General features: G+C 34.4%; 1 protein-coding gene and 2 pseudogenes across 2 annotated transcripts in view; 2 read left to right on the top strand and 1 right to left on the bottom strand.

The window, feature by feature from the left end:
• Positions 1–22,981, top strand: part of GUCY1A2 (guanylate cyclase 1 soluble subunit alpha 2) — a 344,458-nt gene that overhangs the window by 190,358 nt on the left and 131,119 nt on the right. For both annotated transcript variants that reach the window (NM_000855.3, NM_001256424.2), the window contains exon 5: positions 17,641–18,126. In NM_000855.3, the coding sequence (NP_000846.1) occupies positions 17,641–18,126 (486 nt within the window). The remainder of the gene's footprint in view (positions 1–17,640; positions 18,127–22,981) is intronic.
• Positions 153–2,024, top strand: LOC100422300 (pyridine nucleotide-disulphide oxidoreductase domain 1 pseudogene; annotated as a pseudogene).
• LOC100421306 (RecQ like helicase pseudogene) lies at positions 2,965–4,065 on the bottom strand (annotated as a pseudogene).

The raw sequence follows: 22,981 nt of genomic DNA, 5'->3' as shown, positions 1-22,981 counted from the left end.
GCCTCCAACAAAGAACTAATAGCCAGAATGTACAAGGTACTCAAACAACTCAACAAGAAAAAAAAATAAAGAGCTACATTAAAAGTGGGCAAAGGGCCCGAGCACCCGTAGGTCGGATTCTCTGGATAAGGCACCGGAAGTGACCGCCTCGCGGCTGCTTCCTCTCCTGGAGTCCAGAGTCTCGCTGTTCCGCCGCGATATTCAGTAAACCACTGGGAGTCCGGCAGCATGAAGGCAGCGCGCCCTCCCATGACTGCAGGGAAGTTCATGGTGGTCGGCGGCGGCATCGCGGGCGTCACTTGTGCGGAGCAGTTGGCTACTCACTTTCCATCAGAAGATATTCTCTTGGTAACAGCTTCTCCTGTTATGAAAGCAGTTACAAATTTCAAGCAGATTTCTAAAATATTGGAAGAATTTGATGTTGAAGAACAATCAAGTACCATGTTAGAAAAACGCTTTCCCAACATCAAGGTTATAGAATCTGGCGTAAAGCAACTGAAGAGTGAAGAACACTGCATTGTAACAGAAGATGGCAATCAGCATGTATATAAGAAACTCTGTGTGCTGGAGCTAAACCAAAGTTGATATGTGAAGGAAATCCTTATGTATTAGGAATCCGTGATACAGACAGTGCTCAGGAATTTCAGAAACAGCTTACTAAAGCTAAAAGAATAATGATCTTAGGGAACGGTGGTATCGCACTTGAGTTAGTGTATGAAATTGAAGGCTGTGAAGTGATTTGGGCCATTAAAGATAAAGCTATAGGGAATACTTTCTTCGATGCAGGAGCAGCTGAATTCTTGACTTCAAAGCTCATTGCTGAAAAATCAGAGGCTAAAATTGCATATAAAAGAACCAGATATACAACTGAAGGAAGGAAAAAGGAAGCTAGAAGCAAATCTAAATCAGATAATGTAGGCAGTGCGTTGGGACCAGATTGGCATGAAGGCTTGAATCTTAAAGGAACAAAAGAGTTTTCTCATAAGATTCACCTTGAAGCTATGTGTGAAGTAAAGAAAATCTACCTTCAGGATGAGTTTAGAATTTTGAAGAAAAAGTCCTTCACTTTTCCAAGAGACCATACGTCAGTTACAACTAATACAGAGATGTGGCCTGTCTATGTGGAATTGACCAATGAAAAGATATATGGCTGCGATTTCATTGTCAGTGCTACAGGAGTTACACCGAATATAGAACCTTTTCTCCATGGTAACAGTTTTGATCTAGGAGAAGATGGTGGCCTGAAAGTGGATGATCATATGCACACATCCCTTCCTGATATCTATGCTGCCGGTGACATCTGTACTACATCCTGGCAGCTGAGCCCAGTCTGGCAGCAGATGAGGCTGTGGACCCAGGCTAGACAGATGGGATGGTATGCAGCAAAGTGCATGGCTGCAGCGAGTTCAGGAGACTCTATTGACATGGATTTCAGCTTTGAACTGTTTGCTCATGTGACAAAATTTTTTAACTATAAGGTTGTACTGCTGGGAAAATACAATGCACAGGGCTTAGGTTCAGATCATGAATTAATGCTGAGATGTACCAAAGGACAAGAATACATCAAAGTCGTCATGCAAAATGGACGAATGATGGGAGCTTTCTTAATTGGTGAAACTGATTTAGAAGAAACATTTGAAAACCTAATCTTAAACCAAATGAATCTTTCATCATATGGAGAAGATCTGCTAGATCCAAATATTGATATAGAAGATTATTTTGACTAAAAATGGAATTTCTTCAAGAATCATATAAAGTTCCAAATGACACCAGAAAAATCACAAGTCAATAAAATGAATGACTGTATTGAGTTAATGATGACCACACTGAAAATTACAGAAGTGATAATGATATTAGTGGAAAAATATAAAAACATAAATTCTAAGTTTGAAATCAGTTCAAAGTTTATTTATAGATATATCTTTCCAATACAACACTGACCACTTGGATAAAAATCTTAAGTTATTTATTTCTGTGTTTTAAACATAAATATGTTTACTTGTGATTTAGCTTTGGAGCAAATTTAGGTAAGTTATCTATTTAGCCAAATGTACTCTAGTAGATTAGAACCATTCTTTGTGAAATGTCAAAATATGGCTGTGGTTTCAGGAACTTTAAAATCGGTTGTATTTTACTTTAAATAGAGATGTAGCAATATCTCGTTTGCTAATATTTATATTGATGACTTACTCCTTTTTTGTTGAATTGTACTTCTGGTTTTATAACCTGAAATCATCTACAAGCTTGTCCAACTCTAGCCCACGGGTCGAATGCAGCCCAGGACAGCTTTGAATGCAGCCCAACACAAATTTGTAAACTTTCTTAAAACTTGAGATTTTTCTTGCAATTTTTTTTTAAGCTTATCAGCTATCGTCAGTGTTAGCATGTTTTATGTGCGGCCCAAGACAATTCTTCTTCCAGTGTGGCTCAGGGAAGCCAAAAGATTGGACATCCCTGATCTACATATTTAACTTAAAGTATCACTCAGTGAGCCTCTGTCAGTGTAATATTGCTTTCAAAAAGATAGTTATGTCAAAAGAAAAAATATAGCTAAGTATATAAAGGCATAAAAAACTTAAGACAATTATATGGACTTATTCTCAAATATTTTACATTTTTTGTAAACTTTCTTAAAACATGAGATTTTTCTTGCAATTTTTTTTTTAAGCTCATCAGCTGTCATCAGTGTTAGCATATTTTATGTGAGGCCCAAGACAATTCTTCTTCCAATGTGGCTCAGGGAAGCCAAAAGATTGGACATCCCTGATCTACATATTTAACTTAAAGTATCACTCATTGAGCCTCTGTCAGTATAATATTGCTTTCAAAAAGATAGTTATGTCAAAAGAAAAAATATAGCTAAGTATATAAAGGCATAAAAAACTTAAGACAATTATATGGACTTATTCTCAAATATTTTACAATTAAAGGGTTTTACATAAAAATTTTTCCCTTGTTTTATACTGGAAAATTATATAATCGTGATCTCTAATTTTCAAACATTCTCAAAAGTTTAGATCTTCAGAGATAAGCTCTGAAAATATAGATCCATACATATAAAATATCTATGAAATTCTTTTAAAAACTATTGTCTAACTACAAAAATAGTGGCATATACATGCATAAACCATCTTTAATTAGAAAATTTAGTAACATTCATGTCAGGCATCATCGATTTTTCTTTTCTTAGCTCCTGTATTCTTAGAACCAGATTGCTGAAGCATGTTTGCAGCCTTCTTCTGGAAGTTGCCTGAATTTTTTTCCTCCATCTTTTTATCACCTTGTTCAGAATGACAAGTTTGAGACGATTCAGCCTACAAAAAAAAAAAATAACAAAGCAAGCACCTTGGTAAAAATCCAGCTATTCAGTTTTCTCATGAGATTAAATATTTCAAAATATTCTTTCTGTATCAGTTGGCTTTTTAAGTATACAGGGGTCTAGTTTTTTATCTACAAATTTCTATTCAAATATGAGCTCTATTTTGAATAAAAGGGGCTACATTGTGAGAGAAGTTCTAAAGACCTCAAATGTCCTTAGACACAATGGCACTTGACTTGACATGCTTTTGCAGACTTGATAGTATTTGGTTTAAAACAGTGGTTTCTAACCACTGGAACAGCAGAAACAGACTTCTCAACTATTAGTAATCACAACCAAATAAGAGCAGAGTGCATAACAAAATTAGATATTAAAACAGAGTCCTCCCATTCCAAGAAACTGGAAACCCCTAGTTTATGTTAAAAGGCCAGTCTAAATTCTTTCACTTATATCTTTACAGAAAACTATATTTTCTCTCTTCCATACCCAGAAATCTAATCAGAAAACTGACTTTTCTCATGTTCAACTGGACCTAGGGGAATATGACAGAAAAGCATCCCATAGGCTTTAATATACTTTTTAAAATATATAAAACTGAAAATTAATAGCCATTTACCCTGAAAGAGTTCTGTGTGGACTTTGTCACTTGCACAGTAATAGCATGTGCCTCATTGTTCAGAAGATTAGCTTTAGGTCCTATTTTCAAATAAGAAATGGTAGCATAAGCTGTAAAACTGTAGTCTTCTCTGCAGAAAATGCCAACAATAAGAAAGCTTTTGAAGGAATCACGGAAAACAAATTTATAAAAGCAATAACTATATGCGCAGTAATTTTTAATACATTGACTTGAAATAATAAAATTTACAAGAATGCAAATAAAGCCTTTAAAGAAAAAAAAAGTGGGCAAAGGACATGAACAAACATTTCTCAAAAGAAGAAATAGAAGCAGCCAACAAACACATGATATAATGATCAGTATCCCTAATCTTTGGAGAAATGCAAATTAAAACCACACTAAGACATCATCATACACCAGTCAGAATGGCTATTATTAAAAAGTCGAAAAACAATAGATGTTTGTGTGGATGCAGAGAAAAGGAACACACTGTTGGTGGGAATGTAAATTAGTTCAGCCTCTATGGAAGACGGTATGGAAATAGCTCAAAGGACTAAAAATAGAACCACTGTTTGACCCAGCAATCCCACTTCTGGGTATCATTATATTAAAAATGACACCTGCACTTGAATGTTCATCACAGTACCTCACAATAGGAAAGTCATGGAACCAACCTAAGTGTTTACCAACTGTTGATTTTATTTTAAAAATGTGGTATATGCATGCCAAGTAATACTATATGGCCATGAAAAAGAATGAAATCATATCCTTTGCAGCAACATAGATGGACCTGGAGGCCATTATCTTAAGTGAACTAACTCAGAAGCAGAAAATCAAATATCACCTGTTCTCACTTATAAGTCTGCACTAAACAGTGGGTACACATGGACATAAAGATGGAAATAGTAGACAGTGGGTACTCCAAAAGCAGGGAAGGCAGGAGGGCTCTGAGGAATGAAAAATTACCTCTTGGGTACAATGTTCAATATTTGAGTGATGGGTACACCAGAAGCCCAATCCTCAACATTATTCAAAATACCCATGTGACAAACATGTACATGTTCCCCCTGAATCTACATTTTTTTTTCAGAAGAAAATAAGTGATTGTTTTTATTTTTAGGAAACTAAACAAATATCATTTTCTTCTCTCTGATCTCATAGCACTTGACAAACAACAGGGTGTAGCAGTCCAAACCCTGGCACTAGAATCTACATTTTTTAAAAAAAGTAACAATTACAAATAATATCTTCTGTATCCTATTCCCTATTCTCCCTCTTCCTAGAATACATTCCAATGCCTTCAACTATTATTTTAATCACAAAATTGTTGATGACAAATTGTGATATTCAAATGTCTTTTTTTCATTAATAGAGGTATTACTGTATAACCTGTGAAAGAAATGCTTTACTTTGATAAGGGAAAATGATGAGTACAGGAGTTAAAAAATATTCTTCTTAAACTCTAGACTTTTTGAGACCAAACCTCTTGGAATTTGTATTACTTATTCAAATTGTTCAGCTGGAGGCTATTATCCTAAGTGAATTAACACAAGAACAGAAAACCAAATACCGTATGTTCTCACTTATAAGTAGGAGCTAAACGTTGAGTACACATGGATGCAAAGATGGGAACAATAGAAACTGGGTCCTGCTTGAGGGAGGAGGCTGAGAGGAGGGTGAGGGTCGAAAAACTACCTGTTGGGTACTATGCTGTCTACCTGGGTAATAAAACCATTTGTACACCAAACCACAGCAACACACAATTTACCCATGTAACAAACCTGCACATGTGCTCCTTGGACCTAAAATAAAAGTTGAGAAAAGAAAAATAAATAAACAATAATAGTGGAAAAATTCATAATTTTACTTCTGTGTCATGGTCAATTAAAATTTTAATATTTAGCAAAGCAAAGAAAAAAATTGTTCGTATGGTAATGTAAAAAGATAAGTCTTGAATTTCTACATGAATCCTAAAATTTGCAAAATAAATAAAACTAAGTTTAGCAGCTCTCTGTATTTCTTTAGCCATAGACTAAGCAACTGTTCTATTATTCCTTTAGAAAATTCCTTTTGTACTCAAATTTTCTTAATTCTGCTTATGCAACAGCCAGGATTCTCAGTATGTAACAGTGGGTTTTGCCAACTTGGGTCCCAGCCTAAATTCTAGTTATTTGTTTTAAATATTTAATGCAAGTCAGCCAGAATGCCAAAACACTATCCTTATTACTAAGCAATATATTAAACAAACACCCCTGACTTGTTCCTCACCCTTAATCCACAGAATTGAAACGAGGAATGGAAGAACAAATAAATTTTAACGTAAAATAATAATAATTTAATGATAACATAAAATAATACACAAACACATAATAATAATTGGATGTTAGTCTTTTTTAAGGCTTTATCAGAATATTCTGTGTTAAATTGGCTGGGTCAGAATGGCCAATAAGATTTTACACATCCAAATGGCTCTCTATTACACTGAGGAGGTTTCGTTCATTCCTGTGTGACACTGTGTTAGTGCTTTGTGCAGAATTGTTTTTGTAATATTTCCTTGAAAAAAGTGTAGAATTTTCTGTCTTTGCAGAACATTGAATGGTGGTGCTATATATTTATTATAGCTTCTTGAAGTGTAGTTATATACACCAGATATGTAGAAATAGAACCCACATCTCCCATGGGATGTGTGAATGACAGTGTGGTGACAAAAGCACCCCAGGGGTTCAGGCTAACTGTTGGTTTTAAAGCAAGGAAAACTTTTAGTTCTGTGCCTTTAATGTGTATGATTTACTGATTGTGTGTATGTGCTGAAAAATAAAATCATTTTCACCCTGTGGGAAAAAAGGCAGTTTGTTTGTGTAAGGTATTAAAGACTGCATATAAATTTAATATTCTCCACATAGCATAAAATTTAATGCTTGTTAAGTAAAATTGAATAAAGACTCTAAAAGCAAAACATAAACATTTCATATTTGGAAAATTTGCACAACAGAATGCCAAAATATTTGTTGATGTTCTTCTTTCAACTATAAAGCATAGACGTATTTCCTTTAAATATTATATGAATCCTGCTGTGATTTAAAAAGAAAAGTGGCATCTAATCATGGAACATTAAATTGACTTGGTTATGTAGTTTATGGCTTATTTATCAAAAAAGAATTCAAATCCATTTTTAGAATGAATTTCTGAGATTTAAAGAATAGAAATGAAACTAAATGCAAACACACAAGAAAATAAAAAAGCACAGAGATAAATTGTCTAAAAGGCTATATTTTTGGTATTTTTGTTTATTTAATGAATAAACAATATGAATTATACAGTATCTCATCTCAACAAAGGCAACATTTCAATCTATTGAATAAACAGTAGCATAATTAGCCTTGAGTTAATATCCCCTCCTCACACATACACTTTTCTATGGTTCACTTCAGTAAAAAGGCAAATCTTTTCTGCTTTAGTTCCTGCATATTTAGAGTGCTTAGGCTAGGCCAGGTGCAGTGGGTCATGCCTATAATCCCGGCACTTTGGGAGGCTGAGGCGGGTGGATCATTTGTGTCAGGACTTCAAGACCAGTCTGGCCAACATGTTTAAACCCTGTCTGTACTAAAAATACAAAAATTAGCCAGGCATGATGGCATGTACCTGTAGTTTCAGCTACTCAGGAGGCTGAGGCAGGAAAATCATTTGAACCTGGGAGGGAGAGGTTGCAGTGAGCCGGTATCATGCCACTGCACTCCAGCCTGGGTGATAGAGTGAGACTCTGTCTCTAAATAAATAATATTTTTTTTAAAAAGTGCTTAGCCTAGTACTGGCTGCTCACTAATCAAGGTAGCGTGTGCTGAAGGTTGCATGGCTGTGACAATTTCTTAAGGAAGACCATAGTATTGGTAGGTTTTAGATATTAAGTAAATATTTTTAAAACAAATAAATGGTTATTATAAATGCAGACATTAGGATGATATTTTTTTAAAAAATAAATAGCCCTATGGGGGAAAGTTGGTTTTATTTCAAAGCACCTTATTTTTTTGGAATAATTGTGTGTTAAGAATCAAAACACACATACACATCGAATGATTAAACAAATAAGCAAGGAAAACAAATAAGCAAGGAAAACAAACTTCTTCTACATTATTTTTATTTATTTATGTTTTAACTGAAAGTTTGTGTTCTTTGATCAACATCTCCTCAATCCTTCCATATCCCAGCCTCTGGTAACCACCATTTTAATCTCTATGTCTATGAGTTTGAATTTTATACTTCAAATATAGGTGAGGCCATGCAGTATTTGGGTACTTGTCTTTCTGTACTTATTTCACTTTACATAATGTTCTTCATGTTCAAACATGGTGTCTCAAAAGACAGTATTTTTTTTCTTTTGTAAGGCTGAATGGTATTCTCTGGTGTATCCAGGCACACCTCAGAGATACTGTGGGTTTGGTTACAACCACTCCAATAAAACAAATATTACAAGAAGGCAAATCACACAATATTTTTTGCTTTCCAGTGTATTTACAGTTCTTTTCACACTATACTGTAGTCCATTAAGTTTGCAATAGCATTATGTCTGAAAAATGTATATACCTTAATAAAAAAAAACTTTATTGCTAAAAATGCTAATGATTATCTGAGCCTTCATCAAGTCATAATCTTTTTTGCTGGTGGAGGGTCTTACCTTGATGTAAATGGCTACTGACTGATCAGGGTAGTGGTTGCTGAAGGTTGGGTGGCTCTAACAATTTCTTAAAGTAAGACAGCAATGAAGTTTGCTGCATCGATTGACTCGTCCTATCACAAAACATTTCCTTATAGCTTGCAATGCTGTTTGATAGCATTGTATTCACAGTAGTATTGCTTTCAAAATTTGAATATGTCTTCTCAAACTCTGTGCTGCTTTATCAACTAATTTTAGGTAATATTCTAAATCTTTTGTTGTCATTTCAACAGTGTTCACTGAGTCTTCAGCAGGAGTAGGTTGCTTCTCAAGAAACCACTTTCTTTGCCCATCTGTAAGAAGTAACTTCTCATTCATTTAAGTTTTATCATGAGATTGCAGCAATTCAGCCACATCTTCAACATCTAATTCTAGTGCTTTTTGCCATTTCTACTATATCTGCAGTGATACCCTCAACTGAAGTCTTGAAGCTCTCCAAGTCATCACCGAGGGTTGAAATAAACTTCTTCCAAACTGTTAATGCTGAAGACAGCTTCTTTAAACCTCATGAACCATCCTCTGCTACCTTCAAGCTTTCTTCTGCAGCTTCCTCACCTCCCTCAGCCTTCATAGAATTAGAGATCTAAGGCCGCCTTTCTCTGGATTAGGCTTTGGCTAAACAGAATGTAATGGCTGATTTGATCTTCCATGCATACTACTAAAACTTTCTCCGTATCAGCAATAATACTGTTTTAGTTTCTTATCATTTGTGTGTTCACCGGAGTAGCATTTTTTAAAATTTCCTTCAAGAACCTTTCATTTTCATTCGCAACTTGGCTCACTGACTTAAGAGGTGTAGTTTTCTGCTTATCTCAGCTTTCGACATGCCTTTCTTACTAAGCTTAATCATTTCTAGCATTTGATATAAAGTGAGAGCCCTGCAACTTTTCTTTTCACTTGAACACTTAGAGGTCATTGTAGTGTTATTCATTGGTCTAATTTCAATATTGTTGTTCTCATGTGATAGGGAGCTCTGAGGAGAGGGAGAAGAACTGGGAACAGCTCGTTGGTGGGGCACTCAGAACACACACGATGTTGACTGATTAAGTTCACTGTCTTATACGGGTGTGGTTTGTGGTGCCCCAAAACAATTACCATAGTAACATCAAGGATCACTGATCACAGGTTACCATAACACATATAATAATGAAAGAGCTTGAAATATTATGAGAATTGCCAAAATATGACACAGAGACATGAGATGAGCATATGATGTTGGAAAAATATCACCAGTAGATTTGTTCAACAGAAGGTTGTCACAAACTTTCAATTTGTAAAACAATGCAATATCTGCAAAGGGCAATAAAGTGAAGCACAATAAAATGAGGTATGCTTGTATATACCACAATCCATACCACAATTATCCATTCATCTGTTGATGGACACTTAGGTTTATTCCGTATTTTGGCTATAGTGTTTAATGCTGCAGTGAACATGGGGTGCAGATTACTGTCATTTGATTTCATTTTTTAAATATATACTCAGTAGTGAGATTGCTGGATCATATAGTAATTCTATTTTTACTTTCTTGAAGAATGTTGATACTGTTTGTCATCATGGCTGTACTAATTTCCACTCCCACCAACAGTGTACAGGGGTTCTCTTTTCTCCACATTTTGCTGGTACTCATTATTTTTCATCATTTTAATAGCCATTCTAACAGGTATCAGGTGATATCTCATTGTAGTTTTAATTTGTATTTATCTGATGATTAGTGATGTTGGACATTTTTTTCATATTTCTCTTGGCTATTTGTATGTCTTCTTTTGAGAAATGTCTGTATTCAGGCCTTTTGCCCATTTAATTTGGTTGTTTTCTTCTTAGTCAGTTGAGTTCTTTATATATTTTGGATACTAAAACCCTTGTAAGATATATGGTTTGCAAATATTTTCCCCTATTCTGTATGTCGTTTCTTCACACTGTTGATGTTTCCTTTGCTGTGCTGAAGCTTTTTAATTTGATAGAATCTCATTGATCTATTCTCATTTTTATTGTCTGTGCTTTTGGGGTCATGTCCAAAAAATTGCTGTTCAGAGCAATGTCAAGGAGCTTTTCCTCTATGTTTTCTTTTAGTAGTTAGTTTCTAGTCTTAAATAGGAACTATTGGAACTAAAGTTATAGGAGCTATTTTTGCTGGAGGTCCTAGTGCAAATACTCCAAGCTTAAAGGATAAACTTTGCATAATGGTAAATCTTGGGGGCAAGATGACATCTATCAATATGTTTTAAGGAAAATTCATATTGTGATTGTTTAATTTGGGCCAGATATAACTGTCATTTCATATGCTTCATCATATCCCAGCTAGAAGATGAATGTTAGAGGACAAATGAATTATTTCGTCATTAACTTAGCTGATGTAATCTTTAGGAAGGGGTGGAACTGCACCACATTTAAATGTTCCTTCCCCTTTTATTTTCTGGAAGACACTGACAAAATGGTGTTAATTCTTTTTCAAATAGTTGTTAGAATTTTCCAGCAAAACTATTTGGCCTGAAGATTTTTTTTTCAAAAAACTTTAAATTATACATTTCATGTTTTTAATGGTTATAAAATGATTCAGATTATCAGTTTCATCTTGGTTGAGTTTTGGTAGTTTGGGTTTTTTTCAAGGGATTGGTTCATTTAAACTGTCAAATTTTTTAATGTAAAGCTGTTTGTGATATCCCCTTATTATTCTTGTAATGTCTATATTATCTATAGTGATAACCCCTATCTTGTTCCTTATGTTGATTTTTGTTTACTTAGCTGTCATTTTCATCAGTGTTGCTAGACTTTACTGATTTTATTGATGTTTTTTCAAAGAAACCATTTTTTTTTGCTCATTTTCTTTATTGTTTTCCTGTTTGTAATTTCATTGATTACCTCTCTTATGGTTTTTGTTTCCTCCCTTCTGCTTGCTTTGGGTTTATTTTGCTCTTATATTTTTCTTTTCTGAGGTAGACACTTAGATTATTGATTCGTGATTTGTTCTCGCCTTGATTATAAGCACTCTCTTCACTGCTTTGGCTGCATGCTACTTATTTTAATATGCTGTATTTCCATTTTGATTTCATTTTATGCAATTTAATTTCTGTTAACAATTCCTCTTTTAAAATGAATTGTGTAGAAAAGTGTTGTTTCATTTTCACATTGTTAGGGATTTTTCTGTTGTCTTTCAGTTATTGACTTCTAGTATTATTTCACCTAGTTAACATACTCTGTACAATTTCAACTTTTGAAATTTATTCTGGTGTTTTTTTATGGCCTAGGATTTGGTCGGTATATGTTCCATGATCTCCTTGGGTTTTTTTTTTTTTTTTTTTTTTAAAGAAAGAGTATTCTGCTGTTGTTGGATTGTCAAATTATTTTAGATATTAATTAGATCGTATTTGTAGATTTTGTTGTTTTTGTAGATTTTGTTGTTAAGGTATCAGTTTTCTGTGGCTACTGTAACAAATTACCACAAACTTGGTAGCTTAAAACAACATAAATTTATTCTTTCATAGTCCTGCATGCCAGAAGTCAAAGTGTCAAAAGGACCATGCTATCTCCAGAGGCTCTGGGGTAGAATCCATTTCTTGCTTCTTCTAGCTTTTTGTGGCTGCTGGCAGGTCTTGAGGTTTCTTGGCTTGAGGTCACATCACTCTAATCTATGTCTCTTTCTTCACGTCACCTTCTCCTTTGTGTGTGGTGTGTGTGTGCGTGTGTTTGTGTGTCTGTGTGCATGTGTGGTCTCCCTCTGCCTTCCTCTTGTGAGGCCACTCATGACGATCAAAGTATCAGAATGTATAATATTATCATATTTGTCTCAGTCATCGCATATGATTTAGACAACTCATGAGGAGAAGATAATCTATGTATTTACCCATACTTCTAGTCCTTCTGTTCCTTTTCTTCCTTCCTGGTGCTCAAAGATTTTTTTCTCTTATCTTTTTCTTTCTGTTTAAAGACCTTTCTTTAGCCATTCTTTTTTATTATTATTATTATACTTTAAGTTTTAGGGTACATATGCACCCTAAAATGTATCTTGGAGTGAATTCCTTTGAGTTTATCCTTATTTAGAATCCATATAGTTGAATTTGTGGGTTTATGTCTTTCACCAAATTTAAGACATTTTCATCTATAGTTTATTCAAATACTATTTCAACCTCACTCTCCCCTATACTTTTGGAACTCTTAGGATATGAATGTGGATTTCTTTTTTATTGTCCTAAAGATCCCTAAAACTTTTTTTCAGCCTATTTTCTCTGTTGTTCAGATTGAGTAAATTCTATTAAGCTGTCCTCAATTCACTGATTCTATCCTCTGTCATCTCCATTCTAATTTTGAGCCCACCCAGCATGTTTTCTATTTTTGTTGCTGTATTTTTCAGTTGTATAATTTACATTGGTTATTTTTATATTTCTATTGCTTTACTGAGATTTTGTGTTTTAAAATTCATTTAAAAAGAATTTATAATTGCTCGTTGAAATATTTTCTTATGCCCTCTTTAAAATTCTTGACAGATAATTCCAACATCTGATTCATTTTAGTGTTGGCGTCAATCGATTGTCTTTTCTCATTCAAGTTGTGATTTTCTTGGTTCTTATTATGATTCTTATGATGGTTGACTTTCTATTATATTTTTGATAATTTGGGTATTGTGTTTGTTAGGAGACTCTAGATTCTATTTAAAATTTTTATTTTAACAGTCAATTCCTCTATTTAGGTTTGGCATGTAGGTCCTGGCCTACTTTTGTGGGTTTTAGTTGCAATGACTGTGTAATTTTCAGAGGTTATGTGGTGCTATTTTCATCTTGGTTTATTTCATGCCTCATGGCTCCCACTGTCCTTGGTAATGCTGCTTGAGGGTGCAGAGCAAGCTTCTCCAGGTCAGATATCCTTATGTCTCTATATGGAGGGGATTTTTCAGCCCATGTGGATGAAGAGTAATTCCTAGCTGGGCATTTGTTGTGCAAAATTACTCTTGCTGGTGACTCTAGCCATACAATTTCTTGAGTAGTGAGTTATGGTGGGTGTGAGAGGGAGAATATCAGGACATTAAGAACATGGAAGCTTCTCAGACTGGGCACTGTCTCCTGCTTTTTTAGCTAGAGCTAGTTCTTTGAAAGCAAATGTTGCTCTGTGAGAGCAGTGGCCCTTCTGGAAGCCCCTTTAATTATTGAAGCACCCGGGACATATCATTCTGTTTGTGCTTTCATAAATTACATTGCAGGGATCTGAAAGACCAGAAACCAAATCTAGAAGTGCCCATTTTTTGTTACTGAACTGAATTCTAAAGAATAGTCATGCAAATCTATATCAGCAGCTACATCTATATCTGTAGCAACAACTTCTCTCTTTTCAACTGCCCATTGTGAACATCTCTTTAAGGTTGTTTTGCCATCACATTGATTTATATTTAAAATTGTAATTGCTTCGCTTCTCTCTCCTTCACCTTCAGGCTTCTACAGTGGTTAAGAGTGTTTCCTTTGGAGTCAGTCCAGTTTGGGTTTGAGTGTTGACCTTACTGCTTATTAGCTTGTATTCTTTACAAATCTCTTAACCTCCCTAAATCTTAAAACTGAGGATAGTAATAGCTAGCAAAAGAGTAAAATTCAGTAACAAAGTATAAATTAAGTATTAATTAAGTACTCAGCACAGTACATGGGCAATAGCAAGTACTCACAGATGTGTTGAGTTAGCTACAGGCATCATCCTCCTCAACATCATTATCATCTTTTCCAGTTTATAGATAAGGAAACCGAGGCTTTGAAAGGATAGGGAACTGAACGTAGGTCAGTTTTCCCACTTAATTTTCAGGAGAGTTGAAATTCAAATTCAGACCTGACTTCTTCCAAATCCTTCTTTTCAAACTATTATGTAACACTGCATCAAATGATTTTCTTATAAAACCTGAAGCTCCATGAGAGCATGGATTAGGCCATGCTCAAGATAGGCAAAAATATAAAACATGTAATGTGCAGTTATATGACCTGGACTTACTCAATTCTGATTACTTATTGATAACAGTGGTGAATATTTTCATAGAACTATCTGAGCATTAACATGCAACAAACCCCCATGAGATGAATTTACCTATATAACAAACCTGCACATGTACCCCCCAACCCAGCATAAAAGTAAAATGAAAAAAGAAATAATGAAGATAGTTTAACAGAACCTGACAACCAAGGTTTGTGATAGTATGATATTTAACCCTTTACTATAGCTCAGAGCAAAATACTCCCCTTTGTTATGCTTGCCAATTTCTGAAATCTGACAAATGTTATGACAATTTATTTTTCTTATGTCTTCTGTGCTATCTCATTGAAACTTCAATATGATGTAAGATGCAATAAAACCTTAGATAGATGTTTATATTTTAAGCAATTTTCCACAATTCTTTTATATACAAATATGTAGTTCTTATAATAGTTTTGCTTATTGCTAAGTTAATAAATGCAAATAATGATGAATTTCTGAAGTTATAATTATGAGAAACATAATTCAAGAAGGATAATTTATATTATTTTCCAATTAAAGTAAAAATGCATTGGTGACAGAGATACAAATGGTGCCATTGAATCTGCCCATTTATTAAATAAAAAGTTCACTGATAGAAAATATTGAAAAGGAAGTTATTTACTTTATTTCTTTGGGCTTATCGTCTATGAATTGTTTTTCTGTAGTGTAGGCAATCAACAACATTTTCTTCCTTCAGGGTCTGTTTATGTAGAGATTTCAGAAAACAAACTAATGGCCACATATAAGTCAAGGACATATTTGCTATTTTACATTTTTGAGACAGGAATGTGAACTATTCAATTTAGACTTTTTATAAATTAATATTTAAAATGCATTACATATAGGAAATAATATATATTAATTTATGCATACATACATACACTAATTCCACATTTAAAATTAAGATGGAGATGATAAAGGCAAAAGAGAATAAGGTCTAGTTGTGATGGTAAATGTTAAAGTTGATACCTAGGAAGAAAAGAGAAAGAAAAAGAAAACAGGAACCAATGGAAAAAAATGAGAGTAGAGTCCAAGCGATGAAGAAGAGAGACCAGCAGAAGGAGAGACAAACACCAAATAAAGAGAGGAGGGTGAAAAAAGTGTAACTCCACGAAGCAAGGGAGAAGAAAGAAGAAATCAAGATGGAGAAGAAAAAAGAAGTAATTGGAAAGAAATGTGAAGAGAGAGAGAGAGACTACATAGAAGTTTAAATATATGAGTATCAGATGTTATCATTGCCATTTAAAAATATGATTAACTCTATTAAGCTTATCAAGGTTTTTGCGCTTATGTCAATCTTAAAAAAATTTATATAATAATTTTTAAACTATGGGATTGTACATTATGTGTTTCTTCCTTACCATGCCCTTAAGATCCTAATAACAAGAAAGTATGTATTATTAGCAACACTCCTACCCTAAAGAGCATATGAAACATATACAAACAATCTGTAAATATTTTACAGGACAATTATTTTCTTTTTACTCAAACCATAACCTGTAGTATTTTGAGAGCCTATTTTAGGTAGTGAATTTAGAATGTCTTCCTCCTCCTATTCTCTGGCCGATATAGATTTGGTTCTCCACCATACTGTGATACGTTTGAAAAGGGGAACTGTATTTTATCTTTCTATCCTTATCATCCAGAGCAGAGCATTACTAGTAAATAGAAAATAATCAATATTTTAGTGAATAAATAAGAGTAATATAAATAAAAGGATGAAATACTGAACTTTAGCAGAAATTTTACATAAGGTAAAGTGAGCATTTAATTCCATAAAAATTATAACATCAAGCAAGATTCCATTTTATTTTCTTATATAAACAAGATCTTGGTGAATGGTACAAGGGAGAAAAGTAAAAATATTAATGACTTAAAAATCCAGATCCCAATAGTTTATTCCATATTTGTTCAGTGCCACCAGTTTTTATCAACTAGCTTAACTATTTAGCTATAAAGAAAACAGGAAAATACATGTATTGAGCACATTCCATGTAGTAGTGGAACATAGATGAAACTGATGCACAGTCCCAACTGGTCAACTTTTAGCCTATTCTTTCTAAGTAATTGCAACTGGCTTTTTCTCCAGGTGTGCTTAGTTTAACCTTAGTCCAATCCAAATAGTTATAGTTGTAGCCATACCCCAGCTCCACCTTCCTTTTCTACTGGTGTTCATTGTTCATGCCCTCTGAAGGTGTTCATTAGGCTACTGGGCATAAGCTTGTGTTCACTAAGTTTCCCATTAAATCTCAGTTCCCTAAATTCTCCAGTGAAAGGGCATAGAAAAGAGGAATAGATTTAAATTACTTTACCCTCAGATTCTTTATCATATGACCCAAATTCCTTTAGTATTATAATTATTATTTTTTCATTTATTTTTAGCTTATATGAACATGCTAGTTGAGTGATATTTTCTGATAATGCTAGCTTAATATCTGGTTTATATTTTTATTTTTAAGAATAAGAGAACTGTCCACTAACCTAACAAGTGCAATGACTAGTACATTTTAAAAGTACTATAATAGTTGAAAAATGATTTACATAAGGCCAATTACTTTGATTCATTTTAACCTCCTGGATTTATTTTCTGAAAGGGGTATTATTTTAATGACAGTTAAATATAGTTATTTTGACAGATGGATTTACCATATTTTCATTATTATTTAGTAGGCTGAAAGCTTTTGAATTGGCTCATAAACCAGTTTCATGATGTACCTTGGAGTATCATCTTGAATAAAAAATGTTTTCCTGTTTCATTTTTCACTGATCTCACTTTCCATTTCATTATTGTCTTTAGAAAGTAGCTGAGTGAGATATAAAACAATTGTTTCTCTTCAGAACCATGAATTTTAAACTGGCTGAAAATCAGATTTAAATTTGCTTATATGAATGCAGTAACTCAGTATTGCTAATAAAACATTTTTTCTTTCTATTCATCAGATAATATATTAAATTTTGTGAACCTACTATGTGAAGAGTACTGATCAAAATTCCATGTTAATTTCACAGGTGATGGAAGTCAAAGGACAAATGATCCATGTTCCAGAATCAAATTCCATTTTATTTTTGGGCTCTCCATGTGTGGACAAGTTGGATGAACTCATGGGCCGAGGGCTACATCTCTCAGACATCCCTATCCATGATGCCACCCGAGATGTCATTTTGGTTGGTGAGCAGGCAAAGGCCCAAGATGGGTTGAAGAAAAGGATGGATAAATTAAAGGCAACTTTAGAAAGAACTCACCAGGCCCTGGAAGAAGAGAAAAAGAAGACAGTGGATCTTCTATATTCTATTTTCCCTGGTGATGTAGCCCAGCAATTATGGCAAGGGCAGCAAGTACAGGCCAGAAAGTTTGATGATGTCACCATGCTCTTTTCAGACATTGTTGGCTTCACAGCCATATGTGCCCAGTGTACTCCCATGCAAGTAATCAGCATGCTGAATGAACTGTACACCAGATTTGACCACCAGTGTGGATTTTTGGATATTTATAAGGTAAGGGAGTTTAGTTACTTACATATAAATGTTTTTTAATAGTAAATTGTCATGTGAATTAAATTGATTTTTTTACTTAAACTTGATACTAAATAATTGACAACTCTTTAATTTAGAAATTTTATAGATAATACAGGTATTTCTTCTTTATGAGTAAACTTTCAATATGAGTTCGTTTGTGTTGACATAGATAACTGTGAAGAATCATGATATTGCTCAGTAAGGAAAAATTCTATATAGCTACTCCTCTAAGTTTATTTTTATTAAAAAATTAAACTTGTTGAATTCTAGGTAACTTTTTACCACATAATTATTCTTGCTTAGAAAATGGGGTTCCAATATAAACTAAGAATTTTATTTTGACAGTTAAAAACAAATAGCAAGTTATATTAAAATATGCATTGTATTGTCAAATATGGCTAATCAGTATTTTGCACTGCATTATTAAGTGAGATCTCTTTAATTCTAAAAAAACCTATATATAAATACTCTAGCTATTGCTCAAATGACTAATGAGTTTTTGAGGAAGTACCTTAATTTTCCAAGCTACATAATGGAAAAATTTCCAAAATTGGTGCCAACCACCATGGTTGGTTTGATTTGGTGAACTCCTTATTAATTTCTTACTAAGATCATAGCAATATTTTGAGTCATTTAGCTCCATATCTACCTAATCAATAACTCTACAACTTTACCTAGAATCTTACGTAGATTGCACAATGTCAGGGCATAGGGCTTTTTTTATATGAAGGGAATCAAGTACTTTTAGTATAAATAGTTGTGAGCTGCAGGTTTTATTTTCTTCTTTACTAATACATATTGACCAGCTACTTATTTTTACAGTATGATCTTCACATAAGCAGATTTGGAAAGAACTTGTCTGATTCACTTTGTAAATTTTATATTATCATCCAGAAGGTGTTTTTATGAAGGTGTGTCTTCTTGGGGAAATGAGCTCTTTAGTTTCATTATGTAGACTATGTAGCCAATGTTAAATATTTTAATTGAATCTCTTCTGAGTGGTAAACATTCAGTATGAAGTATGTATAAGGGATTTTCCTTGTTACAGAAAATTAAGTTCTTATAAATTATCTTTAACTCCCTTATAATTTATTGGTATATAATTTACAGCAGTGGTAGCCAAATGTCTGATTCTAAACCGGAGAGATACTATAATGTTAAACTGTCACTTCCAGGACAGAGGAGATCAGCTGAATTTGGCATCACTTTCCTTCCTCCATACTTGGGGCACTATTACACCAATCTCTGCCACAACCAATCTTTTCCCTCTAAACTACTGATTTGCAGTGTTTGCTTCCTCCAGTTAAAGCAGTCATGTTTTTTTTGTTTTGTTTTGTTTTGTTTTAGCCCTAAGTTCATACAACTAAATGAGAATGATAATAGATAAATAAATTATTCTCTGGAAAAAACATGGGAATCCCTGACAAACATAAGTATCAGTTAGATTTTGAGAAAAGAAGAAATGTGATGCTTCTGAGTATGCCAAAACAGGTTCAAGGTTTTAAAATATGATTTGATTTCTTAGACATCAAGCATTCATTCCCTTGTGAGTTAGGACATCTCACAGAAAAACAGTAGAAATACTCCGTATGATCTTCAAATTTTCCTATATATTATTAAACCGTGGACAGTTTCATATAGTCATGAATAATAATCAACAAGTTTTAACTTACAAAATGTTTATATAAATATATATATATACACACACACATATAATAATTCTAGTTCACAACTTTTCTTAAACTAAACTTGTTTAGGAAATTTTGCAATTAATTACAACTAAAGATTCCAGGCCTTGGTGTTCTTAACATATCTTCAATGCTAGTGTATTAATCAGGGTTCTCTAGAGGGATGGGACTAATAGGATAGATGTATATATGAAAGGGAGTTTATTAAGGAGTATTGACTCACACAGTCACAAGGTGGAATCCCACCATAGGCTATCTGCAAGTTGAGGAGCAAGGAAGCCAGTCCGAGTTCCAAAACCTCAAAAAGTAGGGAAGCCAACAGTGCAGCCTTCAGTCTGTGGCCGAAGGCTTGAGAACCCTGAGCAAACCACTAGTGTAGGTCCAAGAGTCCAAAAGCTAAAGAACTTGGAGTCCAATGTTTGAGGGCAGGAAGCATCCAGCACAAAAGAAAGATGAAGGCCAAAAGACTCAGGCCAGTCTAGTCCTTCTACATTCCTCTGCCTGCTTTTATCCTAGTCACGCTGGCAGCTGATTAGATGGTACCCACCTGGATTGAAGGTGGGTCTGCCTCTCCCAGTCCATTGACTCAAATGTTAATCTCCTTTGGCAACACCCTCATAGACACACCTAGGAACAATATTTTTTATCCTTCAATCCAATGACGTTTACACTCAATATTAACTATCACAGCTAGTAAGTACATGTATCTAGGATAGGTGTATAGGGCAGCTTTGGCTGCTTATTCAGGATTAGGGAGGTTGAGTTTGGGAGATCCAGACTGGAAATACAATATATGCTAAATCCATAGCAGTAATGGTTTGGCCAGAGAGGGAAAGACAAAATGATATTAGTCCTGTATAGGATAAAAAAAGTACATTAGGAGAAATGCATTAGGAGGGATATAAATTAGAAAACTTCTATTTGACCAGCCTGATTTGTAATCTTCATAAACATTCTAGTGTATTTTCTAGAAAATACACACAGTGCTATTTTAAACCATGAACTATTTGCCAGATTTTTAATGGCTATTGAAACAAAGAATCCCAGAGGTGGTAGAATTTTTTGTAAGGACCACAAGTCTTATTTTATGAAATGAAAAGAGTTTTGCTAGATTGAAAGTATGTATAGAATTTGGGTAATTATGTAGAATAACCATACCACAGAGAAAAATAAGGTACAGCCCACCTTTTATGTTAGAAATGTGAAAGGAAGCCAGGTAAAACTAAATGCCAAGAGAAAAGAACTAGATGGAGTGGCCCACATGGGGCTTTCATAGTGTGCTACGACATGAGATACTAGTCTCTAAATTTGTGGTTGCCCCTCTCTTCTTCATGTCATTACTCCATGTTTTCCTATCATCAGGCAGATGATAGAGTGAAGAATTATAATTTCAGTGGTAGAATTCAGATAAATTAAGACATAATATGACCATTCTGCTAAAATAATCAAGCTATCTATAAACTAGAGGGTTGAGGAAGAAGCTGTGGATTTTGCTGTGCATATATCAAGCACTGAGAAAATGAAAGCCTTTCCAATGCTTAACTGCCAAGATGTTACAGGTGTATGAATACTAAGTAAGAGCTAGGCAAATTGAAGAAAGCCTGGGTTATAATTTTGTTTCTCTTGTAATTAGAAAGGCAAATTTTCAGTAAAAGTCAACATAAACAACATACGTAATATTTTGCTTCTCAGATTGTTCTCACATGAACATAAAGAACCAGTATCTAATTTTGTAAATCAATGGCATATAAATAGTAACAATAATAATGGCATTGACTATTGAAGCAAATTCATGTACATTTTGCTTTGTTTTACATTTGTCTTTGGGAAAGCCTTTGATTTTAGATAAGCAGGGAGAAAGACTTTGCCTTTCTCTGATTCCATTCTGCCATGGTTGCAGTGTTCCAGTGCTATTTTAAATACAATCTTTAGCATCCCCATCTTTTCACCTTTAAGCACTTTAACTTGACTTTTCTCCAGTTCTATACCCCATAAAATAAAGATATTCAGTGCATCAGTCTCACAGTTACATCATAAGCATTTCAGTGAGCTTTCCTATAAAGAGTTGAGAATACCATCTGGTACATAGTAGTAAATGTAAATATTAGCTGCCATTAGAACTTCTCAGACAGGTGTATCTATCTAGACATACAGGGATGTGTGTTATGTGATTATGTTTGTGTGTGTGTATGTGTGTGTGTGTATATATACACACATACCTAGTAGGCCCAGAGCTTTTTAGAAAAGAATAAAATATGATCTCATATAATCCCTCCTTGAATAACATGTGGCATTATGTACATTTTCGGATAAGAAAACTGAGTTTTGGAAAGGTTAAATCCAGATAATGTAGCTCACAAGTCAGAATTTGAACTGAGACTTGTCTGATTCTAAAGCCTATAGTTTTTGTACAATTTAGGCTGTGATCTAGACAAAGATCAAATGATAGAAACAAAGAGTGGAAACTGTTTAAAAATGACATGACAGTATAACTACAGTTATTGATTCTGTAAAGTAGGAGATTCTCCCGTCTGCCATCTTTTCTCTTTGTTAGAAACCAGCCAGCACCTCTGTCTTCATTCCTCCTATGGAAAGTGGCATACCAAAAGAGGCATTGTGGGAGCAGTGGTCCCAGGTGCAGGCAATAAGAGGTATATTTTTTAAACAGTGAAGTGGAATAAAAGTTGATCTGGTTTTAAAAATCATCTTACCCAGGTAACTCTAAAAATGTTAGTGATGGCCAGGCACGGTGGCTCACGCCTGTAATCCCAGCACTTTGGGAGGCCGAGGTGGGTGGATCACCTGAGGTCAGGAGTTCGAGACCAGCCTGGCCAACCTGGTGAAACGCTGTCTCTACTAAAAATACAAAAATTAGCCAGGCATGGTGGTGGGTGCCTGTAATCCAAACTAGTCAGGAGGCTGAGGCAGGAGAATTGCTTGAACCCAGGTGGTAGAGGTTGCAGTGAGCTGAGATCACGCCACTGCATTCCAGCCTGGGCAACAGAGTGAGACTACGTCTCAAAAAAAAAAAAAAATGTTAGTGATAAAATAGTTTTCTCTGTCAGAGTAAAGGTAGAGGGGGAGTATTCCCATCACAGCCTCTAAGTGTGGTTTGCAAATGTCCATGGCATTAAACATTGTCAGGT

This window comes from Homo sapiens, chromosome 11, assembly GCF_000001405.40.
Source record: "Homo sapiens chromosome 11, GRCh38.p14 Primary Assembly".
Classification (NCBI taxonomy): Eukaryota; Metazoa; Chordata; class Mammalia; order Primates; family Hominidae; genus Homo; species Homo sapiens.
The sequence above is the reverse complement of the archived record's forward strand: the minus strand, read 5'-3'. Positions and strand labels throughout refer to the sequence as shown.